The sequence below is a fragment of the Homo sapiens genome, chromosome X (assembly GCF_000001405.40).
Source record: "Homo sapiens chromosome X, GRCh38.p14 Primary Assembly".
Taxonomy (NCBI): domain Eukaryota; kingdom Metazoa; phylum Chordata; class Mammalia; order Primates; family Hominidae; genus Homo; species Homo sapiens.
In genome coordinates this window covers 69,165,454-69,187,744 of record NC_000023.11, presented here as the reverse complement: position 1 = coordinate 69,187,744, position 22,291 = coordinate 69,165,454, and the positions used below count along the sequence as shown (strand labels likewise).

Sequence of the window (22,291 nt, the reverse complement as noted above, 5' to 3'; positions counted from 1 at the left end):
AGTTCTGCCATGCCTTCTTTCTTTGCCTCACATTCTCAGGGAGACACAAGTCCAGATGCCCTGGTTGTTTGGAAAGATGGCAGTGTCTGGCTGGGCCCACCTTCGATAAGTGAGAGTGAATTATTGGTTCATTCTTGTATTCACTCATTTACACCAATATTTATTGATCACTGACTAGTGTCAGGCAGTGGTGATAGAGCAGCAGACCAGACAGAAAAGGCTTTGCGTTCACGGAGCTCACATTCCAGAGAAGATGAAGCCTACCTCTTCTGTAGAGGCCTCAGACACAATCCTATCCCAGGTTGGCTTCCATATTAGACATCACTTTCAACTGCCTCTGAGCTGCCTGGCCCTTATGACCACAGCAGAGAACCCAAGAGATCATCTCATCTACCCTCTGTTTCTAGACAAACGTTCCAGCCCAGATGGCTAAAACCTGCTTCTGTCTATGAAACATGGGCTCTGGAGTCCAAAGACCTAGGATCAAAGCACAACTCTGCTGCTCATTGGCTTTGTGACCTTGGGCAAGTTCTGTAACCACTCTGAGACTTTGTTTTCTCATCTATGAAATGGGCATTAGAACAGCACTGTTTTCATAGGGTCATTGTGTGAATGGAATAAGATAGATAACACACGTAACGTGCTAGAAACAGTGCCTGGCATATGGTATGTGCTCAATGCAGATAAAATGGTGCTATTATTATTATTATTACTGTTGTTATTAATATTACCTGACCTAGGGTGTCATAGGCCTTTGGTTCTGTGTCCAGCCTCAGTTTCAGAAGATATGCTTATTCCTGTCCCTGTGGCCAGGCCAAAATCCATAGGCAAACCTCCCAGGAGGCCCTCTGACCATGGCCCTGTTGGGGGCAGTCTGGAGGTTCGGGCTCTGTCTTGGGTGTCCTCACAGTACACTGTAGAGAGAGCAAGTGCACTCACTCACCTCCCTCAGACTTTGCTCCAGTGCTCCCTTGTTAAGGAGGCCTCCCCTGATGATGCCATCTAAAATCACAAACCCTAGCACCCTCATTCCCCCTCCACTACTTTCTTCTTTTCCATAACCCTTGCCACCATCTTTCATGCTACATATTTTACTTGCATATTCTTTTTAAAATTGTGGTCTGTCTCTTCCCTCTAAAATGTAAGCAGGAAGAAACTATCAAGTCTGTAGGGCCAAGCAGGCTAAAGGCTAAGAGATAAGCCAGACGCCCTGGCTTGCTAGTTACCAACTACAGGACAGTCTCTGCCTGAACCTAAACCTCAGCTTTTCCAACGGAATCATGAGGTGGGTGGATCTGGGGTTCAAAGGGCCACCTCAGCTCTGACTTAGAACGGTCTGTACTTTTGTGTCAGTTCTCATGCAGACCGGGCAGGACCTGGCCTTACAGGCCAGTCTGTTGTAGGAGGCTGTGCCACAGGCAGTGTGTCAGGGCTATAAGCAGAATTCCTCTGCCCACTCAACCTGGCTTTCCTCCACCCTTGACCTTTGTTGGAAAGGCCCTGGGTTTGGGAGCAGAGTGGTCTGGCTCCCCTCTTCAGTGGGGCAGGAGGATTCAACCTCATGTCCATATCCTGGCAGGTGCAGCCTCAGCCTAATGCCCTCCTCCCCTCTGACAACATTGCCACACGATGTGGCCAGCTATTTGCTCCCCTTAAAGGCTACTCGGCTGGACATGATGCTAGCACATGTTGTGTTGAGCTGCCTTCTCTCTCAAAGGCTGCCTTATGGTTTGCAAATGGGGTGAAACAACCCCATAGGACAGTTTGCTGATTCAGAGACTGCTGGCTCCTGGGTGCAAATCCTGCTTGGAATTTCATCTTTCATCCTGACTGTGGGTGTGAGATATCTGCTAAGGCCCAGCATGAGAAAAGCCAGGACATGACATTTAGCACCCAGCCTCTTTCTCTGCCCCACTGCCTTGCCAAGAAAAAGGCTGCCTCTGGAGAAGGCAGCTGTCACCATCATAACATGGGCCCTGCCATTTATGTATTTGACAATATGTATTTATTGGGTGACTACTATGTGCCAAGTACTGCTTCAGGGGCTGGGGACACTGTAATAAGCAAACATAGACACAATCTCTGCTGTCTCGCTCCACTTACATTCTAGAGGCAGAGGCTGGCATTTAATACGGGGACCTGAGGCATATTACAAAAACCTGAGCGGGAGACTCAAAGTTTGACATACATGTTGATGGAAGCTATGAGCATAGATGAGATGGCTCAAAAGAGAGTGTATAGAATGAGAAGGGAAGGGGTTTGGGATAAAACCTGAGGAATCCCAACATCTCGGGGTAGGCAGAGGAAGAGAAAGTAGAGAGGAAGCCACCATGGGTAAAGGGATCCCAGGGCATCAAGCCAAGACAAGAGAGGATTTTCAGGAGGAAGAAATGATCAGCCATTAAATGAGTCATATCAAGAAAGGAGAAGCCCAAGCAAAGGCCACAGGCTGAGTGTTTAGAGAGCAGCGTTGTTGAGTAGCGCACATAGAAGGCAACCCATTACAGGCTCCAGAGCAAAGACAGTGAATGCAAGAAAGAGGAAAGCAACACTTCTTGAGCACCTACTATGTGTCAGGTTCTCTGCTGGGGCCCTTATATGCCTCATCCTTTCATTCATTTGGTCAACAATTTTCTAGATGCAGGGCCTTTATGGAAAGCAAAGATAGGTAAGGCCTCTGCCCTCATGGACCTCATAGTCCACATGGGAACAGGAGCCAGACATTTATCAAAGTGTCCCCCAAATGAATGTGAACTTACAACTGGGACTAGGGTTATGCAGGAGAAGCACGCGGTGCTAATGAGATCCTTTAATTTGGGGCTTTGACCTAGCAGGGAGCTCAGGGAAGGCTTCCTGAGGAGTGGACAAAGAAGGTGAGATCTTAAGGACACATAGAAAGGAACCTGGTGAGTGGAGCAGAGTGGAGTGTTTTATGCAGAAGGAACAACATATGGGCCGGGCTTGGTGGCTCACGCCTGTAATCCCAGCACTTTGGGAGGCCGAGGCGGGTGGATCACGAGGTCAGGAGATCGAGACCATCCTGGCTAACACGGTGAAACCCCGTCTCTACTAAAAATACAAAAAATTAGCCGGGCATGGTGGCGGGCACCTGTAGTCCCAGCTACTCGGGAGGCTGAGGCAGGAGAATGGCGTGAACCCGGGAGGCAGAGTTTGCAGTGAGCCGAGATCGCGCCACTGCACTCCAGCCTGGGCAACAGAGCAAGACTCTGTCTAAAAAAAAAAAGAAGGAACAACATATGCAAAGAACTAAAAGGTGGCCACTGGGAGTGGAGTGGAGAAGGAGGGGGCAGAGGGGGTCAGGGGAGCAGGGAGAGGTGGGTGAGGCAGGGCCAGACTCAATGAGGCTTCACAGGCCATAAGGAGGAGTTTTGTCTTTACCCTGAAACCACAAGAAAGCTGCAGCAGGTCGTTAAGCAAGGCAAGGATATGATCAAAGTCATGTTTTGAAAATACCAGTCCAGCCACTATGTGAAGATAGAGCAAGAGATGATTTGGGTAGAGTATTTAGGAAGCTATTCTGCTGAGTCCAGGAGAGGATGGTGGTAGCTTGTGCTAGAGTGGAGACAAAGGAGACTGAAACAAGTGGATGGGTTGAAAAGATGTTTAGAGATTGCTTAGAATAGCAGATTTCCTATAACTGGCACTTGTAAATAAGGGAATGGTAAAAGAAATGTTGTTAGGTCCACCCAGTAGAATACTATTTGTAAAAACAGAGCAAAAGATTTCTAATACTGAACAGAAAGATTGACAAAATATACTTTTAGGTGAAAAATGCAAGGTACAGAACAGCATGTAGAGTATTGTATTTTGTGGAAGAAAGGAAGCAATATCTATTGTTTGTCTTTCCATAAAGATGCACTGGAAGGAAACCCACCCCCCAAATAAAGGTGGTTTATGTGTGTGTTTTAGGGGGAGTGCTGAAGTTAATGGAGTTGGGTGAGACTCCTTACTAAATCTCGTTTTATATTTATTTTGATTTTTCAATGTATTTCCTGTTTAGAAATAAATAATCTTGAAAGCCAAAGCAACTTAGGAAGTAAAACGAGCAGGATTGGCTATGAGGTTGGTAATGTGGAAGATGTTGAAAATGACTCCTAGGCTTGTGTAACTAGATGTAAGGGGGTCCCTTTGCTATGATAAGGGACAGGAGAAGACAGTAGGTTTGGGGAGGAAGATCATGAGATCAGTTTAGGACACATTGAGTGTGAAATGCCTTCAAAAGAGTGAGATGACTCTTTGAAGAAGTTTGGCTGTGAAGAAGAAGAGAGAGGCAGGGAAGTAGCTGCAGAAGGAAGTAAGGTCCTGGAAGGTGGGTTGGTTTCTTGGTTTCAGTGGGAGACACCTGGGCACCTGAAAAGCAGTAGGGAAAGATCCAGTTGAAAGGGAGAACCTGGTTGTCCTTGAGCCATGTCATTGTTAATTATCCCATTTTAGGGATGAGGAAATGAGGCTCTGGAAGGCCCAAGATCACATCGCTAGTAAGTGGCAGAACCGAAACTGGAAGCTACATCTTCTGACTCCCAGACCAATGGAGCCATGGAAAGGTGCTGGCAGGGAGCCATTAGGAGATAGGATTAATGAGGTCACCAGGCCCAGAGGCTCAGAAGACACCCACGTATTCTGAATAATCCCTCTAGAGCAGTTGTCTCAACTGGGGGTGATTTTGTCCCCCAGGAGACATTTGACAATGTCTGGAGACAGTTTGGTTGTCAGAACTCAGGGTGGGGGTGTGCTATTGGCACCTCGTGGGCAGAGGCCAGGGATACTGCTAACAGTCTGCCTCACTGCCCCCCACCCCCAGCAATGCACAGGACAGCCCTTGCAACAAGTCAATAGTGCCCAGGTTGAGAAACCCTGCTCTAGAAGCTCCAGGGGTTCAGGGAGCTTGTCAGCATCTCCACTCTCTCCACAAATGCGAGTATCTTTGTTGTTTTTACTATCTTTTTATTTCTGTGATTTGGGCACATTGTAAAACATTCAAACAATGCAAAAGTTTTTAAAGTATTAAGTAAAAGTCTTGCCTCCCTCAATCAGAATTCCCCAGAGGTAATGGTTGTTATTGTAACTTTAGTAAACGGGTTGAAATCCACAAGCAGAAAACTTATTTTCTCCCTCCTATTTCTTCCTAAACACTCTCTGTGACCTATTTCTCCCCTACTTCTTGGATGAAATCTCCTGAAGAGCCAGAACTTTTTGAGACGCTTTCAGATAATTAAAAAAAATCCTCCAATTACCTCCAGGAATTAACATGTCCAGCCTAGTGGAACAGACAAAACCCAAACTTCACTAAAAATGAAAGCTTTACCCTTCTCCTCCACTGAGGCCTGTCAGGCTGCAGAGGCCAGGGATGTGGTCAGTGTCTTCTCTCTTTTCTGTCCCTACTGGCTTATTATTTAGCCAGTTTCCCTGTTGATGCATATTGAGGTAGTTTCCAGTTTTTTACTTTTATAAACAATGTTGAGCCATCCTTGTACCTATGTTTATCTGTACACACTTGTTATTTCTTTAGGACAAATTTCTAGAAATCAACGTGCTGAGGTATGCATATTTAAAACAGTAAAACATACTTCCAGATTGTTCTCCAGAGTAACTGCATCAGTGTATGTTCCCACCAGCAGAGTATGAGAGGGCCCATTAAGAGTTCTCACTCTTGGCTGGGTGTGGGTGGCTCATGCCTGTAATCCCAGCACTTTGGGAGGCTGAGGTGGGTGGGTAATTTGAGGTCACAAGTTGGCCAGCTTGGCCAACATGGTGAAACCCCATCTCTACTAAAAAAAAAAAAAAAAAATAGCTCGGCATGGCAGCGCACGCCCGTAATCCTAGCTACTCAGAAGGCTGAGGCACGAGAGTCACTTGAACCCGAGAGGTGGAGGTTGCAGTGAGCCGAGATTGCACCACTGCACTCTAGCCTGGGTGACAGAATGAGACTCTATCTCAAAAAAACAAAGTTCTCACTCTCTCCCCACCTTTTTCAATAGAGTATATGCTAGTGGGGCCAGGCTGACATTAACTACTGATTGAATGAGTGCTGAGAGAACACCCATTCTTTGTGGGCTTCTTGAAGCCCATGAAGAAAGCACAAATTCTCCCAAACTCACTCCTCCCTCTTGACACACAGTCATCTCTTACTCCTCTCCATCCTCCACCCCCTCAAACTTCAGGATTCTAGGTCCTGCATTGCTCTTGAATCCATTGTCTTCTTTCCGTTTCATCACCAATGTTGGAATTCAGGCCTCATCATCTCTTGCCTACAAGAGTTCCTTGCTGGTCTCCCCATCTCCAACTTTGCCATCTCTGATCCATTCTTGACACCCCCAGAGTGAAGGTTCTAAAATGCCAATGTGGTCACCCCCCACCCCCAGAGACTGGCTCCCTAGGGCCCACTCCACAGGGCACACTGTGATCTGTCTTCTCCCTGTTCCCATCTCATCTGTGGCTCTTTGCCTTCCTCCTCTTACGCCCCAGTCACACATTGCTGCCTGCCTGCCAGGAGCACAGCAGGCTTCAGCTCTTTCTTTGTCCATTCGGTTCTCTCTGGCTAGAATGCCCTCTTCCTCTTTTTTTTTGCTGCCATCAAGCAGAGAGTGGACATTTGTTGGTTTGTGGCTTCCCAGCCTTCATTCCTCCCCTTTCCTTAGGCTCCAGTTTAGTGAATTGTCTCTGCCTGATTGTGGGTAATGTTGGTGAAACAATAAATCCATGCATGCCTCCTTCCATAGAAGCCAAAGGGAAGTTGCCTTCCCCCCCTCAGCCCAGTATAGCCAGGAGGCGAGCATGGGACTAAGCTTGGTGACTGGACAGTCTCATTGGACTTTGAATCTGGAATAAGCAATATAAGAATAGAGGAAACAGACTTCATTCATGTTATTGGCAACATCCTGATCAAACCATTCCTGCTTCCTATTCCTTCCCAACCCCTCCCCAAGAAGTGCCTTTGCTTATGTCGATTTCCATACCTGGTTCTCTAGCTTTTCCCTTGATTCTGTAAGCTCCCTATAGCTTACCCCTCCAACCCCATAAATTCCCTTCTCTCCTAAGTTAATCAGAGATGCTTTCTGTTGCTTGCAACCAACAATTTCTGATAGGAAACCCAGCTCAAATGTTCCTTCATCTGGTTCTGCACAAACATACTTCCCTGTACATTCCCATAGCACCCTCTACAAAGTGCAGATCACATATTGTTTTTTTTTTTTTTCTGTTCCTTCCATTAGGGTAAAAACTCATATTGGTCCCATCCTTGTGAGCTCTGGGCTCACTAGCTCATGCGTGGTCCAAAGCCAAACATTTAAGGGAACAAACATTTAAAGACTAAATTAATGGACTAGTAGCTCTACCTGCTTCCCCTCTAGGCGCTTCAGTGACTTACACAGACTCTGTCATGCCACAAAAATAGTAAAAATGCACCTGCCTCTGTCGTGAGTCTGGCTAGGAATAACGTGGGATGATTTCTGTTTGGGACACTCCTTCTGTCTGTTTCATGGAAGATGGCGTGAGGGAGGGCACGAGGGGGAAGAGAAAAGGACAGAAAGGGGGCAGGGAGGTAGCTGTTGGAGCAGCTCAGGTGGAAGATGGTGGTGAGTGGGATTAACATGGTGGCAATGGGAACAGAGTAAAGGGGCTGACTGGTGAGATTGTGAACAGAGCATTAGAATTGAATAGGCTGCTCAATTGTTTCTGGTAATTCTGAAAGCAAAAACTGGCCATTTGAGATGGCTTCCATCAGAAGGAGGTGGTGAGGGAGTTCGAGTGTGCCTGTGCATGGTGGAGCAGGGGTGGGGGGATTGGTAGGGGAGGGTGTCACACCGTCTCCAGCATCCCCCTCCTGCCAGCAGCCATGACCGTGCAGGCTGTCTTGCCTGTTTTCTAAAGAGCTTCCCCAGGCAGCAGGGGAGAGAGGAGAAGGGGGGCTGGCCACCCACGCCACTCAGCAGAGGTGAGCCAGGAGCAACGAGTCCTCAAATTCGCCCTCCCCCAAGCCACTACAGGCTGCCAGGTGCCTTGTTTTTGATGAAAGCTTTTAAAAACCCAAGTGCATGGATGGTCATGCATTCATTTTTGTTCATTTAACTAATACTCACTGAGCCTGGAGCCACGCAATGGTGAGCAAAGCCTGCCATGGACCCTGCTCTCAAGAAGCTCCCGAGCTGGCGAGCTGGCGGGGGAGAAGATGCGTAATCAGGCAATTAGGAACCAGTGTGAGCGGGAGGTAAGCATTGGTTGCTATGGGAACACGAGGAGCGGCCACAGCTGCTGCTCCTCTCTGAAGAGTGGTGGCAAGCAAAAAAGGAGGCACAAAACAGGCAGACCTGCTTGCCAGGCCCAGCTCTGCACACCCCAGCCAACTGGTCCAGGACAAAGATCTTCTGGAAGGAAAAAACCCATCAGCTCTCTGCCACACCATCTCTGCACCTAAGAAATAAGTAGGGAGAGCATGATCCAAGGACCCAATGAGATGCTGTATGTCTGTGCCTGGCCCCCAGTAGGTCTACAGCACATGGCAGCTTCTAGGGGTTTTGTTTTCAAGAAATATTTGTTGGTTAAAAGTTTCCTGGGTTATTGGACACCAGGGGTAAAGCTGTGAATGAGATAAACAAGGGTCCTGCTATCAGGGAGCTGATAGTAATTGAGGAGGAGAGACAGATACAAACATACTTATATGGTACAAGCAACTACTACTATGATCATTATCATGATGCTATGAGTGTGTTTCAGACTGGGAGCTGGCCTAGGCTAGGGGCCCAGGAAGACTTCCTGGAAGAGGGGCCATTTCAGCTAAGATCAAAAGGAAGAGAATTACCAAAGAGGTGGGGATCCTGCGTTCCAAGTATAGTGAACAGTGTATGTGAAGGTGCCAAAGCAAGAGGGAGTCTGATACATCCCAGACAAGGAAAGGAAGCCAGGGGAAACTGGAGAGGGAGAGGGGAGGCTGGAAAGATGGGCAGGGCATTAATCCACTCAAGCCTCTAGGCCGTGGTGAGGAGTTCACGTTGGATCCTAGGATGACCCCAATGCACACCACCCCCACCTCACAATGTTACTGTGACTTCCACTACTGATCAGCACATTAAAACAACTGTCAGTGCCTGAGGCACAGCCATGCTCAAGGGGCTTGACTCAGAGAAGGTTTAGAGAAGATTCTGGAATTTGAGAGCTGAGAGAGCTCTTGGAGAACATTTAGGTCCAAATTCTCACTGTGCAGATGGAAACACTGAGACCCAGAGAGGAAAAAAAAGACCTGCTCAGGGTTGCACAGCAAGCAGGGGTATCAGGCCTGTAACTAGAGCTCCGTTTAATCAGCCACACAGTGCCCCTTGCCTCTGTGGAGATCTAAAGGCAAGCTTTTTCTTACAGGTGCAATTTCCTCTGCCTCTCAGGACAACCAGGAGAGTGTTTCCAGCCCTTTGTTACCTTCTTGCACTTCCCCTAGTGTTCCTCTTTTCAAAAAGACCCCATTTCTATTAACCACAGATTCTCATTTGCTTATCCTCCACCTTTCTGTCATGATGGAGCAGCCAGAGGCAGGGCTTGGACCCCAGGCAGGGCCTAACAGAGCTCTCGTACCAGCTATTGATGTGTCTTCCTGGCTTACCCTAGCTCCTGCCCTTGCTATCCCCTGAATCATGTTCTGTGGGCAGAGCCATCTCCACTGACATGGTCACAGCACTTGCCTGCCCAGGCAGGCCTCACCACACACACACTGGTGGAGTTGACACGGTCTCAGCCATCGTCTTATACACCCTCCCATGCCCCATTGCCCTGATGGAAACAGTGAAGCAGGGGCAGCCCAGAGTTCTTGCCTGTGAATGATCTGTGTCTGGTCTTCTGACTGCCTACTCTACTCTCAGCACTGTCTGCTGGCTCCCTTCTCTCTCTGTTGAGGAATAAAGGGAGCGGGGAGACCCTATGGGAGGAGGGAGGCCAGCACTGCCTGAGCGGAACCTGCAGGGGTTGGGGTGAGAGGAACCTGCTTCTCTGCCCCTCTAGCACAGCTCTTACCCAGCTAGCCCTCCCTACAGAGTGGGCCCAGGGTCCAGGAAGGTGCTCTAGGCCTCCACCAGGGAACTCTCTACCTGGTAGGGCCTCCCTTTCAGGGAGGAACTGAGGCCACTACATTCCTCTTGCTTTAGTCCTAGAAGGAGCTGCCTTTGGAATCAACAGTCCTGAGTCCAAATCCCAGCTCTGCCACCTCTGGCTGAGTAGCCTTGGACAAATCTTTGAACATCCCTGGGCCTCAGCTTCCCTATCTGACCATAAAAATTGCTATCTCATTGGCTTGCTGTGGAGATTAAATAGGGGAGCTAAGTGCTAACTCCCTACCTGGTATATAACAATAGGTGTTTGACAAATGGTAGTCGCCTCCCCACACTCTTGGCTTGTCTCTCCAGCCACACACCCAGCAAGTTCTGCCTAATTCCCTTCAGAGATCCTTGGAGCGAGGCTGGGACCAGATTTGGCAAGAGCCTCCTGGCTCTGGGGAGAAGAGAAGGGAGCTGTGTCCCATGGTAGACAGTCCTAATCCCTGAAATTCAGCAGGAGGCATGCAGTGAGAAGACACACCTGGGGAAAAGATGATGGGAAGTAAATTGAAGGGAAGGAGGAGGTGGCAGGTGGCTTTGGGGCCTGTGGGAAGTCAGGACAGTGGGAAAAGGGGCCTGAGCCTCATGGGGGCCCATTGGGCTAGTTGAGGCAGTGCCAGAATGTTGAGAGAGACAAAGGAGGAGGACTCTGGGCTACAGGCTGCCTGGACCTCTTGATGACAACTCCTCTGAGCTTGCCTTGGGAGCATGGGATCTCTCTCTCATAGAGACCCATGTAGGCTCCAGCAGGCGATTCAACCCAGCCCCATTCAGCTCCAGACACTTGGCTCCCTCATATCCCTATTATCTGCCTCCACAAACTAAACCTTCACCCCAGAACCATGTTCTCTTTTGGCCTTTTATTTCCTGCAACCCAGATGTCCCCAAAACATCTCTTAGATTTTACAAAATTTTCTTCAGAAGAAATTCCCCCCTGTCTCCAGAAGTCATGGGCATTGGTTGTCACAAAGAAGCCTTAACTTTTGGTCCCAGGTTATGGATATGTTTGGCAGAAATGTTTCCACTGAAATGTATCCACTGACAGCCAGGAACACCCCTTGAAGAGGGGTTCTTGGCAGGAGTTCAGTGAAGTCTGGGGCCAGGAATGGCCCTCAGTTTCCAACCTGGGTGAGGATTAAGTCTACGGTGTGGATTAGAGTTGAATTCGTAGTTGGGATCATGGCTGGATTTGTGACCAGGTTGAGGTCTCAGTCCATAACTACGGTTTATTAGTGTCTTTTGGTTGCAAGCAACAGAATTCAACTCTGGCTAACTTGGGCAAAAACTAAGACTGTATTTTCAAGATATTGGGCTTGTTTTCAGAATTGATTGATATGAATATGACTCAGCTCCAGTCTTCTCAATCTCTGTGTGTCTCCTTTTGAATTTCAAATTCCTTGGAGAGGAATCTCTGCCAAGAATAAGTCAAGTTAGCCAGGCTGCTGGGCCACACATTGTCGAGGAAGTGAGAAGGCTCCAGCCTTTGGGGAAAGCAGTCTGGCACCATTTATTAAAATAAAAAAGATGCACATCATTTGACCCAGCAATCCTACTTCTGAGACATCATCCCATAAGAATGGAAGCCCCGGTACTTAAGGACCTATATGGACAAAGATGTCTTAGTTCATTTTCTGCTGCTGTATCAGAATACCACAGACTGGGTAATTTGTAAAGAACAGAAGTTTATTTGGCTCATGGTTCTGGAGGTTGGGAAGTCCAAGAGCATGGCACTGGCATCTGGTGAGGGTAATCCCATGGTGGAAGGCAAAAGGTGGAAGTGAGCATGCAGAACACAGAGTAAGAAGAGGCCAAACTTATCATTTTATTAGGAACCCATTCCCTCTGTAACTAACTCACTGCCACAATAATGACATTAATTCATTCAAGAGGGTGGAGCCCTCATGACCTAATCACCTCTTAAAGGCCCCATCTCCCAATTCCATTACATTGGCAATTAAAGTTCAACATGAGTTTTGGAGGAGACATTCAAACCATAACAGATGTGTATTGCATAATTACTTACAGCTTTTTTAAACCCTAAAAATCATAGTAATAGCTGAGTAGATTGTGACACATCCACACTCTGAAACACTAGGAAACCATTGAAGATTAGTAATTAGAGCCATACTGATTGATTTCCAGGGAGTGTTATTGAGTGAGAAGAACATGAACTGGAAAAGTATGTATATAATCTCATTTTAATAAAAAAGGACAAATAAAAACTTGTGCATGTATTGCATATGTGTGTATGTATATACACACAGAAGTATACATATATGTGTACGCATATGTCTGTATGTGATTACACAGGTATGAAGAAAAATATGGAATAATAAATACTAGTTTATTGACATAGGTTGTGGAGGGGGTACTGATATAGGCCAAGGTGGGAGGCAAGTAAAAATAGAAAGGGCTATAATTTTTTTCTTTCATAATTGAGAGTTTATTGGTTGAGGATCAGTACAGACATTTTGATTTGTACACAATTCTTAACATATGTAACAAAAATCTAAAAAGCCATGTATTGTAATTCTTTTTTAAAGTTATTCCACTGACTTTCCTGCTTAAAATTTGGAAGCAAATTTTCCTTAAGAGGCTATCAAGTACCAGTACCTTCACATGTTGATAAGCTGTTATATACGTCCCACCAATTCACAACTGAATAGCATGTACACCACATATTCAAATTTTAAATCTTTCACAGCACAGTAACAAAGTTATCAGGAAAACAGGACTACCGGAACCAAAGATGTTATAGAGTGCACACAATTCTGACAGGGAGAGCCATGATCAAGGAGTGGTTTTCTTTAGGAAACAATTCTACTAAAAAAAAAAAACAAAAAAACATGGGACTAGAAGTAATTTAAAATGTTCAAGACATTAAATGCAGGACTGACTCCATATTGCCATTTAATATGCTTTGTATTATAGGATATAAAAACTAACCCACCATCTATGGAATGTTAAGCTGGCACCCGAGACGGTCAAAGACTCCCATAATTCAATATCCCACACTATTTTCTGGTTGTACCAAAAAATAAACAACCAACAAACGATTTCAACTCTTAAAAAAAAAGCATTTACACTTAAAAATGGGATAAGGTGTGATTCCCTCCTTCTTAAAAATGTTTCTAGAGCTACTAAAAAACTTGCATTTACAAAATAGTTGATAAAAATGTTCCTCTGGATTGTACAAGAAGGGAGACAGGGACCACTGATAAGACATTGTATATGGTGCTAATCAGTCTTGGCTCCTGCTTCATCAGAGGCTGGACTCTCCTCAGTTTTCCTTTCCCTGTTTTCTGCAGGTAAATCTTCTTTAGTTTGTTGGTTAGCCACTTTGGCCTGTCTTCCCTTTGCTCCCCTTTTCCGTTTTGTTTGCACTTTTTTGTCTGAAGATTTGTCCTTTGCAAAGCCTTTTTCGGCTTTGCTTCCACTTTTGCAGGAGGTTTAGCTGACAATCGCGCAGATCTCCTCTTGGGCTCTTCCTTGGCGGCCCCTTCAGCGGAGCAGACCTTCCTCTTGGGAATCCTGGCGGCGGGGAGGGCGCGTGCCGGGTGCCTGTGGGCCGCGGCGCGCGGAGAGCCTTCGCGAAGCTAGGCTGGCTGGCTGCTACCACTCCTCCGGCCACCCAAGCTCAGAAAAGACTATAGTTTTAGTAAAGCATGCACGTAGGATTTCTTTTATGACTGTGTCTAAAATTACATAAATATTTGTGTGTAATTATAAAGATATTACCTTAAAAATATTTTTAAAAGATGAGTAAAAATATACCAGAAAAAAATCTTATCAAAAGAAAACTGGAGGCCGGCCTGGTTGCTCACTCCTGTAATTCCAGCACTTTGGGAGGCCCAGGCAGGCAGATCACTTGAGGTCAGGAGTTCAAGACCAGCCTGGCCAACATGGCAAAACCGTGTCTCTACTAAAAATACAAAAATTAGCCTGGCATGGTGGCATGAGCCTGTATTCCCAGCTACTTGAGAGGCTGAGGCAGGAGAATCGCCTGAACCCAGGAGGCGGAGGTTGCAGTGAGTCGAGATCATGCTGCTGCACTCCTGCCTGGGCGACAGAGCGAGACTCCATCTCAAAACAAACAAACAAACAAACAAACAAACAAACAAACTGGAAAGTAGAATTGCTGACAGGATTGACCTTTATACCAAAAGTCTTATTAGAGATACGTCATTACGTCATTTATTAGTGATCAAATAATTCTCTGAGAAGATAGAACAATCTTGAACCTACAATGCCCTCTATGTGCTTTTAAAACATATATAAATACTATGGTAATATACATACCCTCTTACAACTCACTTTTTGCATTCAATATTGATTTCTAGATTTATCCCTTCTGATACAACTAGCATTAGATTCTGCATCTTAGCTGTGTTACAGTAGGTCTTCCACCATCACAACTATTCATTTCCCTCTTGATAAACGTTTAGGTTCGTTCTAGTTTTTTGCTATTAAAAACAATACTGTGATGTAAGGAATATAACAGCACATATTTCACTTCAATCATGTGCAAGTATATCTGTAAGCAAATTCCTAGAAGTAGAATTTCTGGGCCAAAAAGTATGTGCATTAGTAATTTGATAGCTATTGCCAACTTGCTGACTACAGAGGCTCTAACTACCAAGTAACCTCACCCTACCACCGGCAATGTTGAAGGGTGCCTGCCTGTGGCTCCACACCTTCAACAACAGTGTTTATCAAACTGTCTCTCATTGCTCAGTCTGATGGGTGAAATCACATCCCATTTTATTTTTATCACTGAGCTTGAACGTCTTCTCAAATGTTGAAATGCCATTTGTATTTCCTTTCTAATAAAATGTATATTGGTATCCTTTGCTCATGTTAAAATTGGTTTGTTGGTCTTTTATTGATTTATAGGAGCTCTTCATGTATTTGGGAAATTAGTCCTTTATGCAATTAGCAGCAAATATTTAATTGAAATGGGGTCTTGCTATGTTGCCTAAGCTGGTCTTGAACTCCTGGCTTCAAGTTGTCAAGGCGAGCCACTGTGCCTGGCTCTGCATTTGTCTTTTACTTTACTTAGAATTGTTTATTTTTTGCTGGCCAGAATATTTTTTTTGATGTAGTTGAAACTTTTCTCTTTCTCTTTTTTTTTCTCTTCTATAGTTCATTGAACTTACAAAGGTCTTCTCCATTCTAGGATTATGAAAAAACATTCTCCCATGGTTTATTTTAAGTGCTTTTAAAATTTCATATTTACATTTAAAGAAAATTCTGACTATGAGAAGATATTTGCAACGGTACAAATACAGCTGACATCTGGTATTCAGAATATACAAAGAACTCCTAGAAATCAATAACCATAAAAACAACCCCAGTAGAAACATGGACAAAAGATATGAACAAGCATTTCAGAGAAGAGATCTATATGGTCAAAAACTGTAAAAGGATGCTTAACTTCTCTAGTAATTCAGGGAAAAGCAAAGCCAGTGTTCCATACTCATCAGATTGGCAACAATTTTAATTGGCAACAATTTTAAAGCCTATATCAAGAGTGCTGAGGATCTGGTGAAATACTCACCAAAAGCAGAGATGTGAATAAACTTCAGGTGAAAATGTGAATTGTTACAACCATTTTGGAAAACAGATTGGGAATATTTATTCAGGTTGAAATGCTCCAACCTCCTCCTGCCCCCATGATGCCTCATGATGTCCTCCTCCTGCCCCCATGCATGCTCTTGGGTAATCTCCTCCCATTGAGTGTGGGTTAGGCTTAGTAACTCACCTTTAATAAATAGAATGTGGCAAACATGTTATGATGTCACTTCTAGGAACTGCCTTGCAAGAAATGTTAAAAGAGGTTCTTCAGAGAGAAGAAAAATAATACTGGTTAGAAATATGAATCTACGTAAAGAAAGGAAGAACATTAAAACAGAAATAAGTGACAGCATAAATAAAATAAAATATTTTGTTTTTCTTGTTACTAACTGATCTAATAACAGCTTGTTCAAAAATAATAGTAACAATATGTTGGATGATTATAGTATATATACTAATGAAATGAATGACAGAAATGCTTATTACATTTCTGTAATAAGAGATTGAAGGAAGGAATTGGAAATATTATGTTATAAGGTGCCTGCCCTATTCATGAGGAGTTATAGTGTTATTTAAAAGTGAACTTGGACTAGTTGTAAATGTATATTGCAAGCTTTAGAGTAATCACTAAAAAAGTAAAAATAAAAAGTAAAATTAATATGCTAAGAGAGGAGAGAAAATTGAACATATAAAATGCTTAATTAAAATCAGAGAAACTGGGTGCAGTGGTTCGTGCCTGTAATCCCAGCACTTTGGGAGGTGAGGTGGGAGGATCGCTTGATCCCAGGAGTTCCAGACCAGCCTGGGAAATATAGGGAGGCCTCATCTCTACAAAAAAGTTAAAAAGTTAGCTGAGCATGGTGGTGTGTGCCTGTAGTCCCAGCTACTCAGGAGGCTGAGGTGGGAGGATTACTTGAGCCTGGGAGACAAGGCTGCAGTGAGCTGACATCGCACCACTGCAATCCAGTCTGAGTGACAGAGTGAGACCCTATCTCAAAAAAAAAAAAAAAAAAGGGCTGAACATCGTGGCTCACACCTGTAATCCCAGCACTTTGGGAGGCCAAGGTGGGTGGATCACCTGAGGTCAGGAGTTCAACACCAGCCTGGGCAACATGGTGAAACCCTGTCTCTACTAAAAAAATACAAAAATTACCCAGGTGTGGTGGGCGCCTGTAATCCCAGCTACTCAGGAGGCTGGAGAACCACTTGAACCTGGGAGGTGGAGTTTGCAGTGAGCTGAGATCGCACCACTGCACTCCAGCCTGGGTGACAGAGCAAGATTCCATCTCAAAAAAAAAAAAAAAAAAAAAACAGCAAGGGCATCAAATAGGGAATAGTTACAAGTATGGTAAATATTAATCCAACTATATCAATAATCACTTTAAATGTGAATGATCTAAATGCACCAATTAAAAGAGACTGTCAGAATGGATTTTAAAAACAAGATTTAACTATATGTTATCTACATGAAACCAACTTTCTAAAGACAAACTAAAAGTAAAGGGATTCAGAAATATATACCATACTAACAGTAATCAAAAGAAAGCCAGAGTAGCTATGTTAATTGCAGACACAGCAGATTTCAGAACAAAGAAAATTATTAGGGATAAATAGGGGTGTTATGTAATGAAAGAGGAGTCAGTTCTCCAAGAAGACACAACAATCTTTAATGTGTGTGTGCCTAACAACAGAGCATCAAAATACATGAGTCAAAAACTGATAGGACTTCAAGAAAAAATAGATGAATCCACAATTATAGTTGGAGACTTCAACACCACTCAATCAGTAATTGACAGATCCAGCAGGCAGAAAATCAGTAAAGATATAGTTGAACTGAATAGCACCATCAATCAACTGGATCTAATTGACATTTATAGACAACTTCATCCAACAAAAGCAGAATACACATTCTTTTCAAGCTCACATTGAACATTCACCAAGATTGACTACATCCTGGGCCATGAAACATGCCTCAACAAATTTAAAAGAATAGACATTATACAAAGTATGCTTTCAGACCACAATGAAATTGAATTAGGAATCAATAGAAGAATGGTAGCTGGAAAATCACATAATATTTGGGGATTAAACAATATACTTCTAAAGAAAACATGGGTTAGAGAAGAAGTGTCAAGATAAATTTTAAAATATTTTGAGATAAATTACCAAAATTTGTGGGATGCAGCAAAAGTGGTGCTTAGAGGGAAATTTGTAGCATTGAATGCATACATTAGAAAATAAGAAATACCTTAAATAAATCATCTAAGCTTCCATCTTAGGAAACTAGAAAATAAAACAGCAAATTCAGCCCAAAGTAAGCAGAAAAAAATGCAATAAAAATTAAAACAGGAATCAATGAAATTGAAAACAGAACAATAGTAGAGAAAAAGCAATACAATCAAAAGCTGGTTCTTTGAAAAGGTCAACAAGATTGAGAAGCTTGTAGCCAGACTGACCCAGAAAAAAAGAGAGTAAACAAAATTACTCATATCAGAAATTAGAGAGGAGCCATTGCTACTGACCTCATGGACATTAAAAGGATAATAAAAAGTATTATGAACAACTCTATGGCCACAAATTTGATTACTTAGATAAAATGAACAAATTCCATGGCTTGTTTTTAATGAATAGGATATGGCAAAAGTGATGAGATCTCACTTCTGAGATTAAGTTATAAAAAGACTGCATCTTTCCTCTTGGGATCTCTCTCTCTCTCTCTCTCTCTCTTTCTCTCTCTCCAGCTACCATGCTGTGAGGAGACTTAGGAAGCCTACGGATAGGTCCACACGACAAGGAATCAAAGTCTGACAACAGCCACATGAGTTAGCTTAGAAATGGGTCTTCTTTGGCCTGTCAACAACCATGTAAAAGAGCTTGGAAGTGGACCTCTTACCCTACTTGAGCCTTCAAATGAGACTGCAACCCTAGATGAGAGCTTGGGTGCAACCTCGTAAGAAAGTTTGAGTCAGAGGCACCTAACTAAGCCATGCCTGGATTCCAGACCCATAGAAACTGATATGATAAATGTTTGTTGTTTTTAGCTGCTATGTTTTAGGGAAATTTGTTACACAGCAATAGATACCTACTACATACTCTTTGACCAAGAAATTCTACTTCAATGTTTCCATACTAGAGCAATTTATTTCAATCCTTTTCACATCAGAACATATATTTAAAATGCTATCAGCTCACTGGAATAAACAGACAGTGTGCTCTTGGCCAGAGGCAACAGTCTCTAGGGGCAGCTGCTGAAGCCAAAGCTACCTTCCTGGAGAGCTAAGGGGATCAATATATCAGAACACTTATAACTCAGTTGGGAAGCTCTGCCCTGAAGAAACTCTTCTATGTAGGCACAAGGAGCCATGCACTAGGATGTTCATTGAATCCTCACTTATAATTGCACAAAACAGAAACAGTAGGAAAAGAGATAAATTGGATAACTTATGCAAAAGAAGTCCATACAATAATATGTTATAGTAATGTATTGGATAATTGATACAGTAATATTCAGCAGTTAAAATGCATGACTCAGATCTACAGGTATCAAAATTGCTGAGTTTCAAAAAACAACAGAGTGAAAATCTAAGTTGCAAAAGTATATATTTATAATGATACCATCTGTATAATTTAAATACATGAAACAAAATTGTGTATTGGTCACAGATATATATATGTAAATATATATTATATATCTGTATATATATGTATACATACACTTATATGCACATATACATATATACACATATATACATACATATATATACACACACATATATATATATATATATATATATATACACATACACACACACACAAACATGAACAAGACGACAGCACATCAACTTCCAAATAAGGCTTATTTTCAAGAGAGAGGTCAAGTGAATAGGATGAAGTGAGGGCTTCATCTGTACTATTTTGTTTCAAAAACAGAAGGATCTGAGGATCTGGAGAAAATAAAATTTGCTCAATCCATGTGACAGGTGCATTAAAATGTGTATTTTATACTCTACTTTTCTGTATAGTTGACATATTTAAAAATATTTTTATAAAGAAAATGTATCCTCTCTTGAGTCCAAAAATACATATACAAGCTGGGCACAGTGGCTCACGCTTGTAACTCCAGCACTTTGGGATACCGATGCAGGTGGATTGCTTGAGATCAGGAATTCGAGACCAGCCTGGTCAACATGGTGAAACCCCATTTCCACTAAAAAATACAAAAACTAGCTGGGTGTGGTGGTGCACACCTGCAGTCCCAGCAACTCAGGAGGCTGAGGCAGGAGATTGCTTGAACTCGGGAGGTGGAGGTTGCAGTGAGCCAAGATTTTACCACTGTACTCCAGCCTGGATGACAGAGCAAGACTCTGTCTCAAAAAAACAAAAATACATATACATTCGGTATATTGTACTGTCCCATTTCCTCATATCGTTATTTATTTTGCAGTCTATTTGATTTATCTATACCATAAGAAATGAGGTGAAGTTTCCCACTATAATTGCAGACTTCCTGATCTCTCTTTATATTTCTAACAGTATTTGCTTTATATATTTTGAAACTACATTGTTTGGCACATAAATTTTTGTGACTATCATATGTTTTTTTTTAAAATGCACTGTTCTGCAACATGCTTTTTTCACTTAATATATTTATATTAGACCAGTACATATATACATATATACTTGCCTTCTTTCTTTCTTTCTTTTTTTTTTTTTTTTTTTTGAGACAGGGTCTGACTATTGCCCAGGCTGGATCACAGTGGCGCAATCTTGGCTCACTGCAGCCTCAACCTCCTGGGCTCAAGTGATTCTCCCACCTCAGCCTCCCAAGTAGCTGGGACTACAGGCACGTACCATTGCGCCAGGGAAATTTTTACGTTTTTTTTGTAGAGATGGGGTTTCACCATATTGTCCAGGCTGGTCTCAACTCCTGGGCTCAAGCAATCCTCCTGCCTTGGTCTCCCAAAGTGCTGCGATTACAGGTGTCAACCACCATGTCTGTACATGAGCCACCATGCAACATGTTTAAATAAATTTAAACAATTTATTTGTTGAGGAGAATTAAAGTTGTTTGCATTATCTTGCTACACTCCTATTCACATATCTTTCTCCATTTGTGTGTCTCAATAGAACACACAATAGAGCAATTGACTAGAAGTAGAATTGCTAGATGAAAATGTATCTCCATTAAAAAATTTGATAGTTTCAGATTTCTCACCAATGAAGTTCTATTATTGTTATTATTATCATCATCATTTTGAGATGGCATCTTGCTTGGTTGTCCAGGCTGGAGTGCAGTGGCGTGATCTTCACTCACTTCAGCCTCAACCTCCTGGGCTCACACAATCCTCCTGCTTCAGCCTCCTAAGTAGTTGGGACTACAGGCACACACCACCAGCTTGTCATATCTTTCTCAGTGAATAAAGCAACCTGTTTTGTTCTCTTTAGTTCTTTTTACTTTGAGTTCTCGATGTTTAGGATATTGATATTGTTACGAGTTTGTTTCCTCCTTCCTTTCCTTCCTTTTTTTTTTTTTTGCTTCTTTCCTTCCCTCATTCCCTCTCTCCCTTTTTTCTGCTAGTATTTTACTCTCATATATTTTTTATTCCTATTTCTGCTTTAGGTGAAACTCACATAAATAGAATATAACTTAGCTTTTAAAAACAAAATGCTCAAAATAAGAGTTTGGTTTTTATTAGGAGATGTTAACCCATAATGCATGCTGATATATTTGGATTCCTGCATTTTTGTTTTCTTTTTGCATCCTTTTTTTTGTACCCCCCCAGCAACATTTCTTGACCTTTGTTAAGAATGAGTTTTTCTCTTTGTTCCACATATTATTACTTTAATGGTTTGAAAGTTATACATTTTATTTCTATTATGTTGTTACCCCTAAGATTTTTGTTCTATTATGCATTTTGTTTCCAGTAAGAACAAAACTTTGCTACTGTTGTGAACATGGGAAATGTTTACATTGGCTGTAAATACTAGAGTTCCATTATAAAGCGCAATTTAAAGACTTCAGAATTCAGTAAAATGGTATAAATCCAAAAGGCGTAACTACAATATTTTTAACTGCAATGCAATAACAGAATATGAACCTGTGTTGTGTCCTATGATCTCTTGGACAGAGAAGCTTGGTTTTGTGATTAGCAGCAACAAATTCAACATAAACAGCTTCAATTTGCTTTAACCATCAGGTTAAAAAAAATTTAAGCTTACTGCAACCCTAAATATGGTTTCACAGTTTTAATACTTTCGGTACAACCATAACACGTAACATAGGATGTGATGTAGTAACGTAATTACTCTCACATTGGACTTAATCAGAAAGAATTTGCAGATTTTATTTTATTTATTAAAAAACCAGAAGGCAATATAGCTAAATGTTTAACATTAGTTAAAGCTGGGTGTTTGTGACATTTTTCGCTGTCCTTTTCTGTATCCTTGACGATTTCATCATTTAAGATGAAATAATGCTTTCGGGCCCACCCTGATTTGTGGAGAGCAGCTGCCGCCCCCGCCACATCAAGGAGGCGGGCTCCAGCTGACTTCACAATCACTTCCGCCGCCGCAGTCGCCGCCCGCCCCGCTGCTGTCTGGCGGGGGAGGAGCTCGGGACC

At 42.9% G+C, this 22,291-nt stretch overlaps 1 long non-coding RNA gene and 1 pseudogene across 1 annotated transcript in view; both read right to left on the bottom strand.

Moving 5' to 3' along the window:
* The window catches only part of LINC00269 (long intergenic non-protein coding RNA 269), a 30,368-nt gene extending 22,180 nt beyond the window's left edge, over positions 1–8,188 (bottom strand). Inside the window, exon 1 of the long non-coding RNA NR_103715.1 lies at positions 8,100–8,188. This is a non-coding gene — a long non-coding RNA (long intergenic non-protein coding RNA 269). The remainder of the gene's footprint in view (positions 1–8,099) is intronic.
* Positions 8,189–12,828: 4,640 nt separating this feature from the next.
* HMGN1P35 (high mobility group nucleosome binding domain 1 pseudogene 35) lies at positions 12,829–13,735 on the bottom strand (annotated as a pseudogene).